Genomic DNA, 21513 nt, shown 5'->3' with positions numbered 1-21513 from the left:
ACCTTCAACTCAGATAATATTTCAAGCAAAATGAATTGCAAGACAAAATTAAAAAGAAGAATTCACAGGGAAGCAAGACAAGAAAGAGTGCAATCATAGCCCATATATTTTTAGTGTTAAAATAATCAGAATCCAAATATCACGTGATATCAGAATATTACATGTTTAATATGTTTAAATATATTTAAAGAAATAAAAATAAGTGAAAAATAAACAGGTATTAAAACTTAGCTAGAGGTCTCAAAACAGAATTAAATAGAACTTCCAGAAATATAGTATTGAAATTAAAGATGCATATCATGGGTAGAACATTATATTTGACACCAAGGAATAAAATAATAATGGACTAGTAAGTAGAATTGACAAAATTATTCAGAATGCAAGGGAGATAAATAAAGAAAAGGGATTTTTATGAGACACATAGGCTACAAGATCTATGATATACCTGGGTAGATTTTTAAAAATCACTAAGCATTTCTTCAAACTGGTGATAAACCTTAATCTTCATACTCAGGAAAGCCAATGACATTGAGTCAGAAAAATTAGAAGACATTCACACTTCAAATAACATTGCAGGCCAAAGATTATAAAAGCACCTGAGGGAGCAAAGAAAAGTTTTTCTATGGAGAAATGATGATTTTATTGAGAGGTATTTTACCATAAAAATAGAGGCTATTAGACAATAGAAAAATGTTTTCAATTTTCAAGGAAAGTAACTGTCAATCACAAATCATATGCCATGCTCAACTATCTGTTAAAAGCAGTGATAAAATAAAAACATTTTCAAAAAAAATTTCTTTTTAATCAAAAGGCCTCTACTAAAAGAAATTCTAAAAGTTGTGATTTAGGTAGGAAGGCTTTGAGCCCAGAAAGAAGGTCTGCAAGGCAAGAAATAATGAAAAAAAGCAAGATGAAAAATATTTAGAAATTCTATCAGTGACTAAATATAAAATAACAACAATAACAATACTAAGAAGGAGGTTTAAAATAGTAAGACTTACCAAAAAAAAAAAAAAAAATGCTTGACCTAATATTATCTACATTTGAAATACTGTGTGCAGAGCTAAATGATTTTATGTTACTTTACTGTTTGGGAAGAAGGAATAAATTTCAATAATTAATTCTTAAACTGAGTATACATTAAATATTTTTTAAAATGTAATAAAAAATAGAAAACATAGATATAAATGCAAACTTTCAGGGGAAGAAACAGACAAGAAAAACCTATGAAAACTCAGGAAAAGACTAATTTTATCCATAGTGATAGAAATCATTATCAGCATTTGCTAAGATGTTCTGGGAAGGAAGAATAGACAGAGAAGGAGCATAGAGATTTTGTTGCGGGGCAGGGGTGGGGGTGATGTAAATAGTCTCCTTCTATTTTGAACATGACAATTGTTACATGGGTGTAAACATTTGTGAAAATTCAGAACTGTACACTTAAATGGAGCAAATTATTGTTCATAAATTAAATTTTGATATGATTATTTTTGTAGTGAAAAAGTCCACTAAGTAAGCTGAGAAGCTAAGTGAACGATGCTAATTGCATAGATTAGTTGAAAAAAAAAAACAGTTTTTGGAATTTCTCAGAAGAGAAAATTAAAAGGCTAATAGACACTTTTCCATCCTTCCTGCATATCTCTTTCAAGAAAGCATAGCTGCAGTAAACAGCTAAAATAAGTGTTCAGAGGTACTGGGTCCCGAAAATAAATATCTCTTTCCTACCACTACTTCCAGGAGAATATGATAGTTCAGCCCCAGCTTCTTTTGTGCAGGGATTTCATTTCCACCACAGCGGCTCCTTCAGATTCAATCCTAAATGACCCCATGATGCCAGCCTCCAGGTTGTGCAACTGCCCTGTAATAGATAAAACTGAATCATTAATTCATTAGTTCATTATTTTTATTCATGTAGCTATTTTTCAATGACGGTGCTCTATTCTGTCTCAAAAAATATTTTCTCCCACAGTTTTTTAGCTTTCTCTTGCATGTGTCAGACACCAGTCAACAGTATTCCTTTATTGGGTAACACATATGAAGCTCTCCAAGCATGAAGCTGATAGTCCTTAAACTTGATGTGAAGTTAATGTCTAGGAGAGCTCATCCCTTACCCACTTTGAAGGAAAGAGTTAAGACTCCCAGCATGTATTCATTCATACAAAAAATCTCCATAAGTCTCTCTCTCTCTCTTTCACAGTTCTGAGAGGAGATTGGAGAGTCCTTCACATGGTTCTAGGGCATGTTCTTGGTTGATTTTGCTTAAAGTGCTCACTCCTGTACTCACTTTTTAACTATCATGTTGCTATCAAAATTGAAAATATGGCAGGTAGATTCATAAGGATAAAATTGAGTCCGTTCCATAAACCAGTAAGTCAAGAACAAGTTTCTTCCTTATGTACATGGTCATCTTGCATCATAAGAGAAAGAGCAAATAATGGAGCTAGTGGATTGGGAAAAGTTTCACATAGAAGGATGTATTGCAAATATACCTTGGAAGAAAGCAGTTTTCCAAGCAGAAGTGGAATATTCTAGAGTGCAAAAGAAATGATACAAACAGCATGGCATCATTCTCAGAAGAACAAATAACCATAGATAGCTGGAGTGTAATTTTGTGTGGAAATTCAAAAATTGTAAGAAAAAGTAAAATGGGATATGTTTTTTGCTGTTCTAGAAACTTTAGATTATGTCATATAAAAATAGAGGTTCATAGACAACCCATCATCAGTGACAGAACATTGGCTGTCATTCTGTAATTACTCAAACATATGAGATATATTGTGATGATGATTACTACTAAAACTTTTAAATAACTGCATTGCAACTTTGAATGTGTATTTTGAAACATGATGACAGCAGTATGAAATATGAATTGAAGAACCATAGGCAGAGTTGTCAGTTAGAAAAATCATTTCAATGGATTATATGAAATGGTCAGAGCTTACATTATGGCAATGTCCAAAAATAAAGAGAATAGATGGAGTAAATGACCTGACCACTAGTATAAGGGGAGATTTGGAACACAAGGATGACACGTGTCCTTTGTGGTGAATTTGCAGAGAGGTGGAGCCCATGGGCATCTTCTATTTTCTTTACCTCGTGAAAGAACAACAGTGTGAAAAGACAAGTATAGTGACTTAAGAGAGGGAAAATATCACACCCAGTTTTATGTACAGAGAAACTTGGTGTGGCACAAATCCAGATGTTTTCTGTGGATCAAGAAGAAATTACAAATGGCGGAAGTGTACATGGGTAGCTTGTCAGCCCTGACAAGTGCCCTCCCCTGAAACCAAAGTGACCACCCCCACTTCAGCAGATGACACTTATGGTATGGATCTGATTTGGAAAGAAGAGGCAAGACATCATTTTCATTCATAGGATCATACGTGAAAGGAGGACACTTGCGAATATGCAGAGCCCACAGAACAACTTAACTTACTGCCCCCCAAAATTATGCTGATACCTGTACATGTGAGGATAACACCTATGAGTTAGACAAGCAACGGGCCCAGTAGTTTTGCAGGTTTTCCGTAGAAAGAAAAATATGATAATCTGCTCATGCTCCACCATAGTCGGCCAGAAAGTGATTATTATTAAACTGTTCTCTCAGGGAGGTTATCAGCAGAACATGGAGGCCAGGAAGGGAACAAATATTCACAAGGAGAGTGGAATTGGAGAGAGCTTTGAAAAGAGTGGCTAATTTGCTGAATCCTGATTTGGAATATACATTTTCCAAATGCATATATTTCTACATGGATAAAGGTACATATATCCCATATACACACATTTACAAATGTGTATATGTGTGTGTTTGTGTGTGTGTGTGCCTATAACCTAAAAGGAGGTCTTGTAGAAGAGTATATACAGTAAGTCCTACTTAATGTCATCCATAGGTTCCTAGACACTGCAACTTTAAGAACAATGATGTATAACAAAACAAATTTTACTATAAGCTAATTTATATAAACAGGAGTTAATTTCCTACAGTATATTTCTGGTTACAATAACATCACCAAACTTCTAAATAAAGATCAAAACACTTCTAATATTAACCATTGAAATAAATGTGAGCTATACATAAATTTAAGAAAGATTAATAAAAACAAGTAAGATAATTATTCACCCAATTATTCCATTTCAGGGTTGCAATTGGCCATAGTCTATCTAGGCAGCTCAGGACAGTAGATGTGCATCAGCCCTGGACAGGACACCATTCCATCTCAGGGGACACACATGTGGACACACACACGTGGAGGACACACACACGTGGACACACACACACACACTCTCTTTCATCCTGAGACACTGTGGAAACACCAATTAACCTAACATGCACATCTTGGGGATGTGAGAGGAAATCAGAATACCTGGATAAAATAAACGAGGACATGGAGAGAATGTGCAAATTCCACATAGACAATGGCCCTGGCTGGAAAGTGATTTTTTTTCCTTTTCATCAAATCATAATGAAAGAAAATGACATTATTTGAGGACCTGCTGCACATATAAGCAAGCACTCACATGTGTGTCTGACATAAGATGTATAGAGTGGGTCTTCATTATACATGATCTGCATTTGCAAATTTGCCTACTGGCTAAAATTTGTTTTCCCAAGTGAATACTGGCTGAAATTTTGTGATCAATTCACAGATACTCAAGTAGCAATAAATTTGAGTTGTGTAATGTGCACATACCTAGCCGAGGTCGAATAAAGGCCAGGTTCTGCTTCTTGTTTCAGTGGTCATACAGAAATGATCTTAGCATGCGGGTAGTAGGGGTAGTGTAGTGTGGTGTAAGAAGCTCTGGTTCTGGAGAGACTTGGACAGGGTTTGACCTTAATTTTCTCTTTGGTAAACTAAAGAAAATAAAATCTACCAGGGTGAGCTGTTTGTAGAATGTAAGAGTATAATCTATGTAGGACAGGGAATGAGATGGCAAAATATTTGATTTTAACTATGAGAAAAATAAAATGTTACAATTCTATACACATCTGATTCAAGATTAAGATATTAATACCAGACAGATGAGGCTGTTGATTACTTTTTAACAACATTTTCCATAGGATTTATTGTGGTCTTCATAGGCAGAGAATGTACATAAATTAAGAAACTATTTTCAGTGAGCATGGACTATCCCTTCAAGATGTTTGTTGATGAAGGGGAGACCTTAGGTAAATATATAAAGAAAAAGAAGGATTCAGAAATAAAATAAGTACATTAAAATTCTGTATAAAATACAGCAACTTGGGGGAAATTGGGAATTAAACATTCAGGAAGGTGACCCAGGGCATGATGGAGGTATTAAGAGAAGCCACACTTAAGTGGTTTTATTTTCCATATGCATTATGAAGTAAACTATCTATTGGAATGTAGGCAATTAATTTAGACAGAATGAAGATAAGGCACTTCACAGCAACCACTTCACTGAAAGAAGACTAAGTTGAGGTAAATAATACCACTGTTGAGCACTGTTGAAGTTCCCATGAGTTTGGAATTTGAAACGACGACTATTCTTTGGCACTAGTCAGACCAGTTATGTAATTTTTTCCAACATGTTTCAGGGGCTTGAGGGTAGGAATGGAGAAAGCAGATGTTTAGATTCACCGTGTGAAGAGTTTTAACAAGACATGCTGTGGAAGGATGATAAAGCTAAAGGAATTAAGGTTGGGGTTGAGAGTACATTTGAAGCAATTTGTCAAGAAGTTCAGGCTACAGAGAAAACAAAGTGAAGTTAGAAATCTCTAGAACTAAGTAAGAATTGATGAGGGAAACTCAGGTTTCATAAGAGAATAGTAGCTTTAGAGATGGTGATCAGGTGATCAGTCATCAAAATGTTGACTCTAATCATGGGAACTAGAAAAATCCAGTAAAAACAGTTTTTTAATATATTTTTGCTAAAGTGAAGCTTATAGGTGGAGTAAAGCAAAAAGGAAAAATACACGTTTTTGGCCAATCATATTAGGTTACAGTTGTCAGTAGTTACCAGAAATTAGTGTTGACGCTAAAGTAGCTGGTAGCTGTGCTTTCAGTGGATGTGAGGAGAGAATGGGAACCAGTATGTTAGGTACTTTGTTCTATTTATACTTCCCTTACTTTTTATGAAGATTTGACTTCGTCTATGAACTTTTTAAAAAATTTAACATATTTACCAGGTATGATGTAGCATAATACTAAGAATCACAAACCTCAGGAGGTAAAACATCATCATTTCTATATTTTATAGAAGGTAATTTATGGACTCTGAGCATTGTTTTAATTTTTTTCCAGTAATTTCTTATATATTCAGTCTTTTGTAATAAGTGTTTTTAGTAAAGTTCATATTTATTTAGCTATATTCAAACTTCTTCTCTCAGCTTGCCACTCCTCATGTGTATCAATGCCTAAGAATGATCCATTTTTGTCCTACACTTATTGTGACTATAGTCTACAACAGTCTGTTCTATCCTCCTGAGTCATATCTGACTTGGGCCCACAGGCGCGTATCTAATTTAGGCCCAGAGGACCAAATCTTCTTTTATCTGTGAAGTTGATGGGCATGAGTAGTTTTGAGAAGACACTGGGATACTTCCTTTTTCACATCTGAGTTTTATTACTCATCTCGATGGTGCTATTTCACCCCATCAAATACCCCTTGAAATTCATACGTAAGTCCACCCTGGGTCCAGAGGAATCCTCTCTGATATGGTTTGCTTCTGTGTCCCCACCCAAATATCATGTTGAATTATAATCCCTAGTGTTGGAGGAGGGGCCTGGTGGGAGTTAACTGGACTTCCCCCTTGCTGATCTCATGATAGAGTTCACATGATCTGATTTTTGAAAGCATGTATCACCTCCCCCTTCACTCACTCTCTCTCCTATGGCCATGTGCTTGCTTCGCCTTCAATTTGCACCGTGACTGTAAGTTTCCTGAGGCTTCCCAGCCGTGTTTCCTGTACAGCCTGTGGAACTGTACAGCCTGTGGAACTGTGAGTCAATTAAACCTCTTTCTTCATAAATTACTCTGTCTCAGGTACTTCTTTACAGCAGTGTGAGAATGGACTAATACACCCTCCATGAAAAACTGGGTTTTACTGAGCATAGAGACTTAGTCTTTGATCAGTTCTTCCTACCTCATGACCTTTAATAGCCTGCTATATATGTCTGTGAAACAGCTATTCTCCACTCTGCACTTGCAAATAAATGATAGATTCTTACTTGGAGAAATACCACAATATCTGGCCATTATTTTCAAACATTTCTTAATAGGTCAAACTATGTTGTAACTCTTACAATCTGTGAACTTGGACAAGTTATTCAGCTTCTCTCTCCCTCAGTTTCTTCATCCATAGATTATGGATAACAATACTTAATCCCTAGGGCATTTTAAGTATTAAAAATATACGTATTATACTTTAAACTGTGTCTCTCACAAGAAAAATGTTATATACATAACTATTATTACTATCAATATCATTATATAAATAAATCTTAAATGAAAATATGCAAATAATCAATAATGACTATGGTTGAAATGTTAATTGAGGTCAGGAGCCTGGCACAGTGGAATCAAAAAACCTGATAAAAATATATTTGAGTAGAAGATGATCAAAGTAGTTTCCAACGAACTTTTTTAATACTCCCATCCAGGGATTAGTGTGTCATTTTACATTCAGAACACATTTGTTTCTTGTAGCATACCTCTAGGAAGCAGTTCATCAGCCAAACCTCCAGAATTGAAAACACCATTTTGCTTCACCATCAGTCCTGCTAAATATTCCTAAACACTCATCATTAATAAAATAGTCAAACCACAGTAACTGTGTTTCTGTTGCTGGATTTTCCCCTAAACATACTGATTAATTTTTATAACTACTGTAGGAGTCTTTCATGGCATAGCCCTCTAAATCCATAAATGTAATTTGAATACTACTCCAAAGATTTAATCATCTATAATATATAAAATACCACAAATAATTCATTAAATAAGCCTTTATTGAGAGACTGTCTTAAGACATGCTGTATACTAGAGCCTGTGTTTTAAAATATCAGTATTGTGTAACTTCTACCTTGAATGTTGATAAAATTGAAAGAACATTTCTACACCTATGAAAAAATGCTAGACAACCTGCAAATTTACAAGTCCTCTTGAATGCATCAGGGAAGTAGATCACTGGTAAACCAACTGACCAAAATTTAATGAAAGACAGTACTTCCATGAAAGCATCAGTTATAAGTAGTTACTTCTGTAGAGAAGACATGTCTGGGTAGTGAGAAAATACATGATTTAGCTAGAATTTGAACGATTTGTAAAAGGAAAAGTGTGGACAAGTGGGAGAATACAAATCCCTGGGGGATGCAGATACAAATTGGAAATTGTACATTTTGGAGCCTCACCAAAAAAAAAAAAAAAAAAAAAGGTGGGGGGGAAGGTGATAGCACTAATAAATCAACACTCTTGTGTGGGCCTTAGGGAAGGAATAGCAGCTGCTGCTTGAGCCCCACATAAACATTTCTATCATGCATAATAGAAAAAAGCCTTAAAATGCTAGAAAGGGGCAAGAAACTCCCTTGCCCTTATGACATTGGTGAAAACCCATTGCAGTTCAAGGAAAAAGAAGAGAGGAGGAATTGAAAAGACCTGTGTATTCATAGGAGAGGGGCAGAGATATATCCTGAAACCAGATACACAGGTGGAAAAGTAAAAGAATCACAAAGAAGGCACCACAATCCAGGGCCGGGGATACAGTGCCTATCTGAGACTTACAGTGAGTAAGAACAATAAAGAATAAGTCTCTTGTACCCTCTGCATCAAAGCAAGAGCAATCATCAAGTGTCAAGGAACTACAATATGCTTTTGGAAGATGGAAAGATTTAAGGTGCAACCTAATACTCAAAAAAGAATAACAAGTTAAAGTAAAAACAAGTAGACAGAAAGATCTACTAAAGAAATTCTTAACATTCTTGAAAACTAAGTAAAGACATTTTTAAAAACTAATCTCTGGACCAGGTGTGGTGGCTCACAACTGTAATCTCAGCACTTCAGGAGACCAACGCAGGTGGATTACTTGAGGCCAGGAATTCCAGACCAGCCTGGTGACATGGCAAAACCCCATCTCTACTAAAAATACAAAAATTAGATGGGCATGGTGGCCTGCACCTGTAATCCCAGCTAGTTGAGAAGGAGAGACATGAGAATCACTTGAGCCTGGGAGGTGGAGGTTGCAGTTAGCCCAGTTCATGTCACTGTACTCCAGCCTGGGCAACAGAGTGAGACTCTGCCTCAAAAAACCAAATACAAACAAATAACAACAAAAAAACCAATCTCTGGTTTTCTGGAAAAAAAAAATAACAAAATTGAAGTTTTAGCATAATTGACAAAGAAAATTTTACAGAGATAAGACACAAAATACACATAATAAAAATGAAAGAGGTGACATCACAGAACATGCATATATGAAAAGAATATTAATTTAAAAATTAAAACAACTCTATATTCATAGATCCAACAACTTCTCTAAAATGGGCAAATACCGTAAAATGTACAAACTACTCCAGAAGAATTAAATAACCTAAATATTTTATATCTTTTAAGATTTAAATTTGTAGCTAACAATTTTCTAACAAAGAAAACTGTTTACCCAGGTGGCTATCCAGATTAGTTATACCAATTATTTGAGGAAGACATAATACCAATTTAACATAGATTTTTCCTGGAATGTGGAATAGGAAAGAATATTTACAAGTTTATTTTATGGTGCTGGACTTATACTGATAGCCAAGCCAAACAAAGAGAGTAGGAAAATAAAACTATCAAGCAGTAAACCTCATGATATAGGTGAAAAATATCCAAAAAAAAAAAATAAAAAAAACTAGTAAAGCAAATCCACTAATATTTGCTTTTAATATTAAAAATAATAGTATATTGTGTGCTAATGTGTTTTATCTGGGGAATGCAAAACTGATTCAACAATAGAAAATCAATGAAAGTAACCATGTTAATAGAGCACATGAGAAATACTACGCTAACATTTTATTACATGCAGAAGAAAAAAATTGACAAAAAAGTCAACATCATTCATGTTAAAAGCTCTCAGTACACTGGCAATAGAATGCCCACTCCTACATATTGCTAATGAGTAGAGAGTAAATATCATACTTCATCATGAAAGAAAATGTTTTCCTTCTGATGGTTGTCCACGTCTGAGCACAGACCTGACAATTTGTCACCTCTCTCCCAGCAGGCCAAAATCCAGAGAAAACATTCTTTTTGAGTTGCACAGCTAAATTCTTGGGAAACAAACAACACGGTTTAGACAGCACAACACAAATTTATAGCACAAGAGACAGTGACAAATGGATACATAATGGCTATCTGCAAGAAGAGTCACAGTATACAAAAAAACTAGTTCTAACCAAAATTTTTCTCCTTTAAATCTAAATTTTAGAAAATACTCTTTGAAAAAAAATAGGAGTGGCTTTTATTGCCTTTGCTCAGGACCCTGAGCAGAGATTCAGGGGTCTGACTGGTAAAAGGTTTACCTTTGCCAGCTTGGTCATAGTATCCAACATCTCAGCAGGAGTCTTAAGGGTAATCTAAGAGTATAAACCATCCCCTCCTCCTTGCCAAAACAGGACAGGAAAATTTTACTCCTACAACTTGGGTCTAGTGTTTGGGGGCCTACAAATGAAATTACAATATACAGATTAACAGAAAAAAACACAGGTTTTTAATATCTATCTATGAATAAATTTCAATAGCTTTGGGGATATGAGTGTTTTTTGGTTACATGAATGAATTGTATAGTGGTGAAGTCAGATTTTAGTGCTCGTCACCTATGTAGTACACATTGTACCCAATATGTAGTACTGATATAGGAGTTAAAAAGAAATTATGTAGGCAGATAGTGAGGGTAAAGAAGTCCTCTGCAGGGTTTTCCTTTTAATGAAAAGCAGCCCCCAAATCATTTCCTTTTCTAACAGAGAGCAGCCTGTAAAATCGAACTGAAAACATACACAAGAAAGCTGGAAGCTTGCGTGGGCGAATGCTGGCAGCTGTACTGATAGGAAAAGGCTACCTGGGACTGGGCAGGTTCAGAATGGTGGCTCCATCTTCCCTGCTCTTTGTCAGCCACGTGTACGGTAAGAAGCAGACAACATGGCCACCAAGTGGAAAGCCCATTTGCATAATAAGATTAGGGTGGGGTGGCCAGCCTTCCCCGTGTACTATGTAAATGTCACCCCTGAGCAACAAATCTGTGGGCCCTATGTAAATCAGACATCGCCCCCTCAAGCCTGCCTGTGAAATTTGGTGCAGTCTGCCGCAGGCTGGCTTTTCCCTTTCGGACACCGCTCTCTCTAGCAGAGAGAGAGCTGCTTTCCTTTCTCTTTCTTTTGCCTATTAGTGCCCAAGCTCCTATACTCACTCCTCCTGTGTGTCTGTGTCATTAATCCTCTTGGCGCAAGAGGACAAACCCTGGGTGTTCACCACAGACAATGACCTGCTTCGGTATTGTATCCTTCCTCCCCACCCACCCGCGTCTGAATATCCTAAGTCCATTTTACCACTCTGCATGGCTTTGCATACCTGTAACTTAGCTTCCATTTATACATGAGAACATTCTCTATTTGGTTGTCCATTCCTGAGTTATTTCACTTAAAGTAATGGCCTCCAGCTTCATCCAAGTTGTTACGAAAGAATTATTTCATTCTTTTTAATGGCTCAGTAGTATTCCATGCTGTATAGTTCCCACACTTTCTTAATTTACTCATCGGTTAATGGACACTTGGGTTGGTTTCATTATGTTTGCAACTGTGAATTGTGCTGCAATAAACACATGCATACAAGTGTCTTTTTGATATACTGACTTCTTTTCCTTTGGGAAGATACCCAGTAGTAGGATTGCTGGATCAACAGTTGATCTACTTTTAGTTCTGTAAGAAATCTCCATACCATTTCTCATAAAGATTGTATTAATTTACATTCCCATCAGCCATGTATAAGCATTCCCTTTTTACTACATCCATTTCATCTATTGTTTTTTGACTTTTTAATAATGGACCTCCTTGCAGGAGTAAGGTGATATCTCACTGTGGTTTTAATTTGCATTTCCCTGATAATTTGTGATGTTGAGCATTTTTTCAAATGTTTTTTGGCCATTTGTATATCTTCTTTTGAGGAATGTCTGCTCATGTCATTTGCCCACTTTTCGATGGGATTATTATTATTTTTTTTTCTTGCTGATTTGTTTGAGTTCCTTGTAGATTCTGGATATTAGTCCTTTGTCAGATGCACAGTTTGCAAATATTTTCTACAATTCTGTGGGTTATCTGTTTACTCTGATGACTATTTCTTTTGCTATGCAAAAGCTTTTTAGTTTAATTAGGTCCAATTTATTTATTGTTGTTTTAATTATGTTTGCCTTTGGGGTCTTAGTCATAAATGCTTTGCCACAGCCAATGTCCAGAAGAGTTTTTCCTAGGTTTTCTACTAGAATTTTTATGTTTTCAGGTCTTAGATGTAAGTCTTTTATCCATCATCAGTTAAATTTTGTATAAGGTGAGAGATAGGTTTCTAGTTTCATTCTTCTACAATTGGCTTGCCAGTTTTCCCAGCACCATTTATTGAATAGAGTATCCTTTCCCCAATTTATGTTTTTTCATGTTTTGTCAAATATCAGTTGGTTGTAAGTATTTGGCTTTATTTCTGGGTTCTGTCTTCTGTTACATTGATCTATGTACCTACTTTTATACCAATACCATGCTGTTTTGGTAATATGAAGTCCAGTAATATGATGCCTTCAGATTTGTTTCTTGTGCATAGGATTACTTTACCTATTTAGGCTCTTTTTTGGTTCCATATGAATTTTAGAATTGGTTTCCATAATTCTATAAAAATATATGTTAGTATTTTTATCAGAATTGCATTGATTCATTGTAGATTGCTTTGGGCAGTATGGTCATTTTTTAAGATATTGATTATTCCAATCCATGAGCATGGAATGTATTTCTATTTGTTTGTGTCATCTATGATTTCATTCAGCAGTGTTTTGTAGCTCTCCTTACAGAGATCTTTCACCTTCTTTGGTAAGTATATTTCTAGGGTTTTTTTTTTTTAATGCAGTTATTGTAAAAGGGGTTGAATTCTTGACTTTTTTCTCAGCTTGGTCATTGTTGGTATCTACCAGTGCTACTGATTTATGCACATTGATTATGTAATCTGAGACTTTACTGAATGCATCTATGAAGTCTAGAATCTGAAAAGAGGAGTCATTGGGGTTTTCTAGGTATATGATGTTATCATCAGCAGATAGTTTGACATCTTTTCCAAGTTGGATGCCCTTTATTTTCTTGCCTGATTGTCCCAGCTAGGAGGACTTCCAGTACATGCTGAATAGAACTGGTGAAAGTGGGCATCCTTGTCTCGTTCCAGTTCTCAGGGGGAATGTTTCAACTTTTCCCCATTTAGTATGATGTTGGCTGTGAGCTTGTTATATATGGCTTTTTTGTTTAATTTTGAAGTATGTTTCTTCTATGCCTAGTTTGTTCAGAGTTTTTACCATAAAAGGAAACTGGATTTTGTCAAGAGCTTTTTCTACATCTAGTGAGACAATCATATCATTTTAGTTTTTAATTCTGTGTATGTGATGTATCACATTTATTTACTTGCTTATGTTAAACCATGAGGTTTACTCATGTGTGCACTGGCTTATAGGCAGAAACAGTGTTGTGTAAAGTGGTAAAAACACACACACACAGAAATAACAGGCTTGTGATATTCTAAGGTTTGCAAAATGAGTAGGAGAGTTCAGGGTTTCACTGGGGAAATTTGAAAAGTTATCTTGGTTTGTTTGATGCTAACAGACAGCTGAATTTGTACGTCCCCATGCTAAGGGTCCATCTTTTCCAAATCAGAAAACTCTCTGAGAGGAGGGCCAATACAGCTGTATTTTTTAGAGGTTCTGTTTAAATTTACATACTCTTTTTTTTTTCCATGTGCTGCTGTTTGTTCAGATATTTTCATTTTGAAGTAATTTTCATAGCACTTTGGTGGGCTAATAATCCCTTCAAAGATGAGGGTGTTTACTCTCGCCACTCATATTTTACATCTTACTGGAGATAAAGCCAGGGTAATAAGATAAGAAATAGAAATAAAAGTATATACATTGTAAAGAAAAAAATAAAATTGCCTCTTCTTCCACTTTTCATAAATGTCTACATAAAAACACAAAAAGAAGTTACAAAAATCATATAGAACTGAGAAATGAATTTACCAAACTTGCAAGGCACAAGGCCAGTGTTTTTTTTTAAAAAAAAGTATTTCAATATAATAGTAAAAAAAAAGAAAAGTTGAATTTTAACAGTACCATATTAATAGCATCAAAACTAAAATATTTAAGTATAAAACCTATAAACTATAGGAAACATCTATCTATCTGTACACTGAAAGCTGCAAAACACTGATAACAGAAATCACAGAAGACCTAAACAAATAGGGAGATATAGCATGTTCATGGAGTAGAATATTCCATATTGTTAAGATTTCCATTCTCTAAAATTTAACTTACAGATTTAACACAATTCAAATCAAAATCCCAGCAGAATTTGTTTTTTATAAATCAACAAACTAATTCAAAATTATATAAAAAGAAAACAGAATGAGGAATCCAAGGAAGAACAAGCAGAACAAGTTGGAAGACTCAAGCTTCATGCTTTCCAGGCACTAAAAAAATTGTGTTAGTCAAGACAACACGGTTTTGGATAAAGAGAATACATATAGATCAATGGAACAGAAGAGAGTTCAGAAATAGAGCCACGCATATATGGTCAACTTATATAGAAAATGAGAAAGGTCATTCAAGGGAGAACAGACAGCCTTTTTAACAGATGGTGCTCAAACAAATGGATATACATACATTAAAAAAAACTCTATTCTAATTTCCTAGAGTATTCTAAAATTAACTTTTGAACTTAAGGCCAAAAACATATCAGAAAATCTTTATAACTCTGGGGTGAGCCAAGATTTCTTATCTTCCATATTACACACCAGCTTTTTTTTTTTTTTCTTACTCTAGTGGACTTTATCAAAATTAAGATCTGTTCTCTTAAAAGTACCGTTAAAAGGATGAAAATATAATCCAGGACTGAGAGATATTTTCAAATTCATTTCTGATGAAGGACTAGCTTTAAAAGGAAAGAACTCTAATACATAATAAGAAAATGAACAACACAATTTTTAATAATTGGCAAGATACTGTAACGTTCATTCCACCTAAGATATATGGATGGTAAATGTACATACAGACATATGCTTATCATTATTCATTTTTTTTTGACAAAGACTTGCTCTGTCACCTGGGCTGGAGTGCAGTGGTGCAATCACGACTCACTGCACTCTTGACCTCACAGGCTCAAGGGATTCTCCCACCTCAGCCTGTCAAGTAACTAAGACTACGGGCATGCACTACTATGCTTGGCTAATTTTGTTTATTTTCTGTAGAGACAGGTTTTAGCCATGTTGCCCAAAATGGTCTCAAACTTCTGGTCTCAAAGCAATCTGCCTGCCTTGGCATCTCAAAGTGATCTGCCTCGACCTCCCAAATTAATAATACCACTAATCTCAAAGTAGTGGCATTAATAATAACCACTATTAGTTTTTAATGAAATTAAACTAACAATGATATACTTGTGATTTCATATCTGTATATATACACAGATAGAATGGCTAAAAATCCTGACAACAGCAAATGCTGACAAGGGGACTGTCCAGTAATATCGTATATTGTTGATAGTGATGCAAAATGGTATAGCCACTTTGCAAATGTATTTTTCAGTTTATTTTGAAGTTAAAACAAAAACTTACAATATAACCCAGTAAACCAACTCCCAGGTATTTCCCAAGCAAATAGGAAAAGTGTGCTCAGGCCAGGTGTGGTGGCTCATGCCTGTAATCCCAACACTTTGGGAGGCTGAGGCAGGAGTATTGCTTGAGGCCAGGAATTTGAGACCAGCCTGGGAAACAGAGAGAGACACTGGCTCCACAAAGATAAAATAATAATAATAATAATAATAATAATAATAATAATAATAATCAGGCATGGTTTTGTGCTCCTGTAGTCCCAGCAACTTGGTAAGCTGAGGCAGGAGTATCCCTTGAGCCCAGGAATTTATGGTTTTTGTGAGGTATGATCAGGCCACTGCACTCCAGCCTGAGAAATGTAAAAAGACACTGTCAATTGGAAAAAAAAAAAAAGGTATTTTCTCACAAAACCCAGTACTTGAATGCATATAAAGATTTTATTTTATTTTTTAATAATTTAGAGAATAAAAAAATACCCTAACAGAGGAAAGGATGCATACCCTAGGGTACATCTTACAATGGACTACCACTCAACAATAAAAACAACAAACTTTTAATACATGCTGCAACAAAGATTAATTACAAATGCATTATGAAAAGTTAAATGAAACCAGACTCAAAAGATACATATTTTTAAATTTGATATATACTATGTTCTTGGAAGAGTTAAGCTAGAGAAATAAACAGATCAGTTGTTACTAGGGGCTGGGTTTGGGAGGAATTGACAACAAAAGGGCATAGTGAATTTCTTTATTTCATGAATGTATTATTTATCTTAATTAATAATGTAATTACCTTCATAATTAATTACCACATTTGATAAATGTTTATCCAAGCTTGCAGAAGAATCTCTAAAATTGAGATTATAACCAATATTAAATTTTATCTTATTTTAAAAATTGGAACAAATCAATTTACAAAAAGATCAAGGAATAAAACTTAATTTCTAATTTTGATCACCTTTATGGTAAAACAGATCCATATGTATTGGAAAATAATAAAAATATCTAACCCAATTATCAAACTAGGTTGGCTTTATTAGACAAGCAAATAAAAGGAACGCCTATCTCAGTCACAAACTTGAGTAGAGATACTCTCTGTGGAAAGAAATCTCAGGATTAGGTAAATGATTACTGCAGATTAACTGGGAAAGGTAAATGCATTAGCAAAGACAGAGAAATATTATACAACAAAACATGTGATTTTTGTATTGAGAGGTTCAGTGCTGCTCTGATTCAGAGTATGGATCACAGAATTGTAGGACAGAAATCTTGGGAGTTAGGCAGGAACAAGATTATGTATTTTTTTATTTTAGTACTTTAAGGTTTCTTGTATTTTATTCTGTAAGTAATGGAAAGCCATTAAGAAATATAAATATGAAATTATGTGATTAAATATTCTTTTTGAAATAATTATTCCTTTCTTTTATTACTCTCTTCCTTCAAGTTTTTCTTTGTCTCGCATACATTTATGAGCACTGATTATGTTTAAGGATAAAGTGGTCCACAATATAATAGAATAGTCCCTTTCTCTAATAGAGATTAAGCTGCAAAGGTAGTGACAGAAAATATATTAGCTAATTAATAGTGTAATACAATGTGATATAATTCTAGTCAATAATACATTCAAAACAGAATAAAGGGATAGAAGGAATAATAAGATTTAAAGTTTTTCAAAAAAATATTAATAGTTGATCATCAAAGACTTTTTGCAATATTATATATGAGACAACAATAGTAAAAGGGAAATTAAATATGTGAATATTGTGAAAAGAACATTTTAGCAGAGAAAATAATTTCCAGAGGCAATGAGGCTGAATTTTACTTGACCTGTTGGAGGAACAGAAACAATAGTAGATCAATGGGAGCTGAGAGAATAGTGATAAGTTTGAAGAACTTTTTTAACAACCATGGTAAGGTCTCTATGTCTATGGTAGGCAGAATTTTATGATAGTCCAAGATTCCTATCTGCTGGTATACTTGCCATGCATAGCCCTCTTACCTTGTGTGTGAGTACAACCTGTAAATATGGTGGATGCCACTCCCATGATTATGTTACATTATATAGGGAAAGTGAGGGGATTTTTTTGCAGATAAAATTAAAGTCCCTAATGAGTTCAACTGTGAGGCTCAAGAAGACGATAATCTTTCATGGACCTGACCTAATCAGTCAAGCCTTTTTATAACAGGGTCTAGAGGGAGGAAACTTGAAGCAGCTGAGACTTTCTTGGTGGCATTGATGAAATAAGGCACTTTGAGTTTTAGGGCTATGAGAAAATGAATTCTACCCACAGTGATGTGAGTTTGAAAGGACCCCTGAGCCTCAGTTGAGACCACAGCCCTGGCTAACACCTAGATAGAGCCTGCATTATCAATTTAGTCAACAGAGTCACTAAACTATATCTGGAGTCCTAGGATACAACAGTGAAATAATAAATGTGTGTTAAGCCACTAAGTGCATACTAATTTGTTATGCAGCAATAGAAAACTAATATCATGTCTATGTCTGATGAAAAGTTGCTACAGGGCTGGGTGCAGTGGCTCACACCTGTAATCCCAGCACTTTGGGAGGCTGAGGGCAGGTGGATCACAAGGTAAAGAGTTCGAGACCAGCCTGGCCAATATGGTAAAACCCTGTCTCTACTAAAAATATTTAAAAAAATTAGCCGGGTGTGGTGGCACATGCCTGTAATCCCATCTACTCAGGAGGCTGAGGCAGGAGAATTGCTTGAACCCGGGAGGCACAGGTTTCAGTGAGCCAAGATCGTGCCATTGCACTCCAGCCTGGGTGGCAGAGTGAGACTCTGTCTCAAAAAAAAAAAAAAAAGAGAGAGAGAAATTACTATAGCTATAAGCGGGAGTTCTTTGAGAACTATTCTGATTTCTTAAGAATAAAGGTATAAAATGTAAGATTTTCTGATTGTTTGAATGTGAAGAGTTAAAAATAATGGAAATCCAAGCTGACTTCAAGTGAATCCTGTTGCCTTTTGCTGAAATGAGGAAATTTTGGTTAAAAATAGATTTGGGATAAGATGTGGAATTAAGAATTTTGTTTTATACATGTTACATTTGGTATATACCACTTAGACATCCATTTAGATGTTGAGTAGACATTTGTGAATATAATTCTGGCACTTGGGAGAGAACACATTAAAATATTAAAGTGTAAATCTTCAGCAAATATGGGATATTTAAAACATGAGTGAGAATAAGATAATCTAGGATGTGAGGGAATATTGACAGGAGTCTAAGATCAAAGTTCAAAACTGTGAGAACACTTATAAGTAAGCAAAAAAAAAAAAAAAAAAAAAAGGAGAACTTGTGGCAGAGATCAAGAAGGAGTACCCAGTGAGATAGAGGAAAAATCAGGAATATATAGTGTCCTTGCATTTGAAGTGAAGAACCCATTTAAAGAGGAAAGGTAATCAACCATGCAAAATGCTTCCAAGAAATTAAATGAAATGAAGACAATGAACGAGTCATTAAAACTGGCAAGATGAAATTCATTGAGATGGTGTGGTACAGAGATGAGATAATTGTCTCTGATTATTTGTATGTCTTCATATGTGAAAATTTCTGTGTTAATCATCTGAGAGTGGGATGCATGATGAAGTTTGGGAGAAAGAAGAAAGTATACATTAGTAAGTTGACTACGAACCAGCATATTATTTAAGACTGTCGGTGTTACATTGGGCCGTTTCATTTTAAAGACTGAACAAACAGAAACTTTACTGTCAATTTTGAGTTTTAGTTCAATACTTATAATTGTGGGAAAATGGATGCTAGTAATTGAAGTCTTTTATAATGGAAGAATTTTATTCAAGGGACAGTGGGTTTTTTTTTGTTTTGTTCTGTTTTAGTTTTTTTTTTTTTATCCTAATATGTTCTTCAATGCAGAGGAACAGCTATCAGTGTGAAACTTCTAGACTCTCTCTCCACTTCCTCACATACTCTGTCCCAGGGAAATAAACAGGATGAGTTTAGGAGAGAAAGGAATTGCATGCTATGCCCTTTACTCTTCCTCTACCCTTTGTCTTGGATACCGACATTCCTGAAAAACTTATTTCCTTGATTATCTTTGATTGTGTCATGAGCCTAGAGCTTAAGCTTTCCAGGACTGCTGGTGTAAATTGAGTTTTTTAATCTTGAATATCAGTATTTTGATTCCAATTGCCTACAAATGCCATCTTTTCTAATATATGTCAGATAACACAGGCTTCCATGTGTTTTGTCCTTTAGTATTCTAAATTGATTCAGAACTTGGTTAAGAAAAATAAGATAATTTAATATTCCCTTGAATAACAATGTGTAAAAAGAAAAGAATAGAAAAGGCAGGAAGGGGAAGACTGAGATAGACATTAGTCTATAGATAATTCTAATTATAGAAAAATCTACAGTGCACAATAGAGGTGAATGTGGAGGTAGAGGTGGCAATATCAATGACAAATTTGGTTATATTTTAAACACTCAATTTTTAATGATTATCTTTCTATTTTTTCAGGTCTTCTTTTCTTTTTCAACAATGTTTTGTAGATTCCAGGGAATAAGTTTTGCATTTTTTTCTTAAATTTATTCTTGGATAGTATATGATTTTTGCTGTTATTATTAGTAGAATATTTTAAAATTTTATTTCAGAGTGTTCACTGTTACTGTATAGAAGTAGAATTGATTTTTTTGTATCAATCTTATATTCTGTGATGGAGAAACAAGAACCATTGCATAATGTTGGTGAGAACCACTAAGGAAAATAGTATGAGAGTTACTAAAAAAAATTAAAAATAGAACTACCATATGATGCAGCAATCCTGCTATTAAACATATATGCAAAGGAATTAAAATCAGTATTTTTAAGAGATATTAGCAATCTTATGTTCACTGCAGCACTATTCTCAATAGCCAAGGTACAGAATCAACCAAAGTGCTCATTGATAGATGAATGAATAAAAAAAATTACACACATGCACACACACACGCACACACACACACACACACACAATGAAATACTATTCAGCCTTTAAAAAGAAGGAAATCCTGTCATTTGGGACAACATGGATGAAGCTGGGGGATATTATGCTAAGTGAGATAAGCCAGTCGCAGAAAGACAAATATTGCATGATCACTTGTAACTGGAATCTAAAAAAGTTGAGCTCATAGAAACAGCATAGGTTGGTTTGCCAGGGGCTAGAGGTGAGGGGAATGGAAAAATGTTGGTCAAAGGATATAAAGTTACAGTTAGAAAAGAGGACTAATTCAGGAGATTTATTGTATATCATAGTGACTATGAGATAATGTACTTTATACTTGAAAATTATTAAGAGAGTTCTGGTTTTAAATGTTCTCACCACAAAAACTGATAAGTATGTGAGGTGATAGACATGCTAATTAGCTTGATTTAACTATTTTACAATGTATACATATATCAAAATACCATGTTTTATATATATAATTTTAATTTTTATTTGTTAATTATACTTTCATAAAAAATCTTATATCCTGCCACATTGCTAAACTCATTTATTAGTATGTGAAATCTTGAAAACTCACTACTTTAAGAATAAATTTTATCATTTAATTCAACACAAGAGCAAGTTATAAAAGGCTTTTACTGAAAGTCTCTTGAATAGTATCTTGTAATTGCTATTTAATATTGTATCAATCAGAATTCAGATCAGGAACACTCCCC

The 21513-nt window shown here is 34.7% G+C and overlaps 1 long non-coding RNA gene across 1 annotated transcript in view, besides 1 other annotated feature; it reads right to left on the bottom strand.

Annotated features, from left to right (window-relative positions):
* Positions 1 to 306: 306 nt before the first annotated feature.
* Positions 307 to 21513, bottom strand: part of LOC105370240 (uncharacterized) — a 59720-nt gene continuing 38513 nt past the window's right edge. Inside the window, exons 2-3 of the long non-coding RNA XR_942030.1 lie at positions 1726 to 1858; positions 307 to 596 (exon numbers count right to left, since the gene is read on the bottom strand). This is a non-coding gene — a long non-coding RNA (uncharacterized LOC105370240). The remainder of the gene's footprint in view (positions 597 to 1725; positions 1859 to 21513) is intronic.
* Positions 10373 to 11572: an enhancer, noted in NCBI's record as "CDK7 strongly-dependent group 2 enhancer chr13:65360601-65361800 (GRCh37/hg19 assembly coordinates)". NCBI's record gives its function as "activates an origin of replication core promoter dependent on BRD2, BRD4, P300/CBP, MED14 and CDK7 cofactors, with strong dependence on CDK7, by STARR-seq in HCT116 cells {active_cell/tissue: HCT116}" and the evidence as "EXISTENCE:reporter gene assay evidence [ECO:0000049][PMID:35650434]".

The sequence above is a fragment of the Homo sapiens genome, chromosome 13, assembly GCF_000001405.40.
Source record: "Homo sapiens chromosome 13, GRCh38.p14 Primary Assembly".
Lineage (NCBI taxonomy): Eukaryota > Metazoa > Chordata > Mammalia > Primates > Hominidae > Homo > Homo sapiens.
Note: the sequence above shows the minus strand (reverse complement) of the source record. Positions and strands in the feature narration are given on the sequence as shown.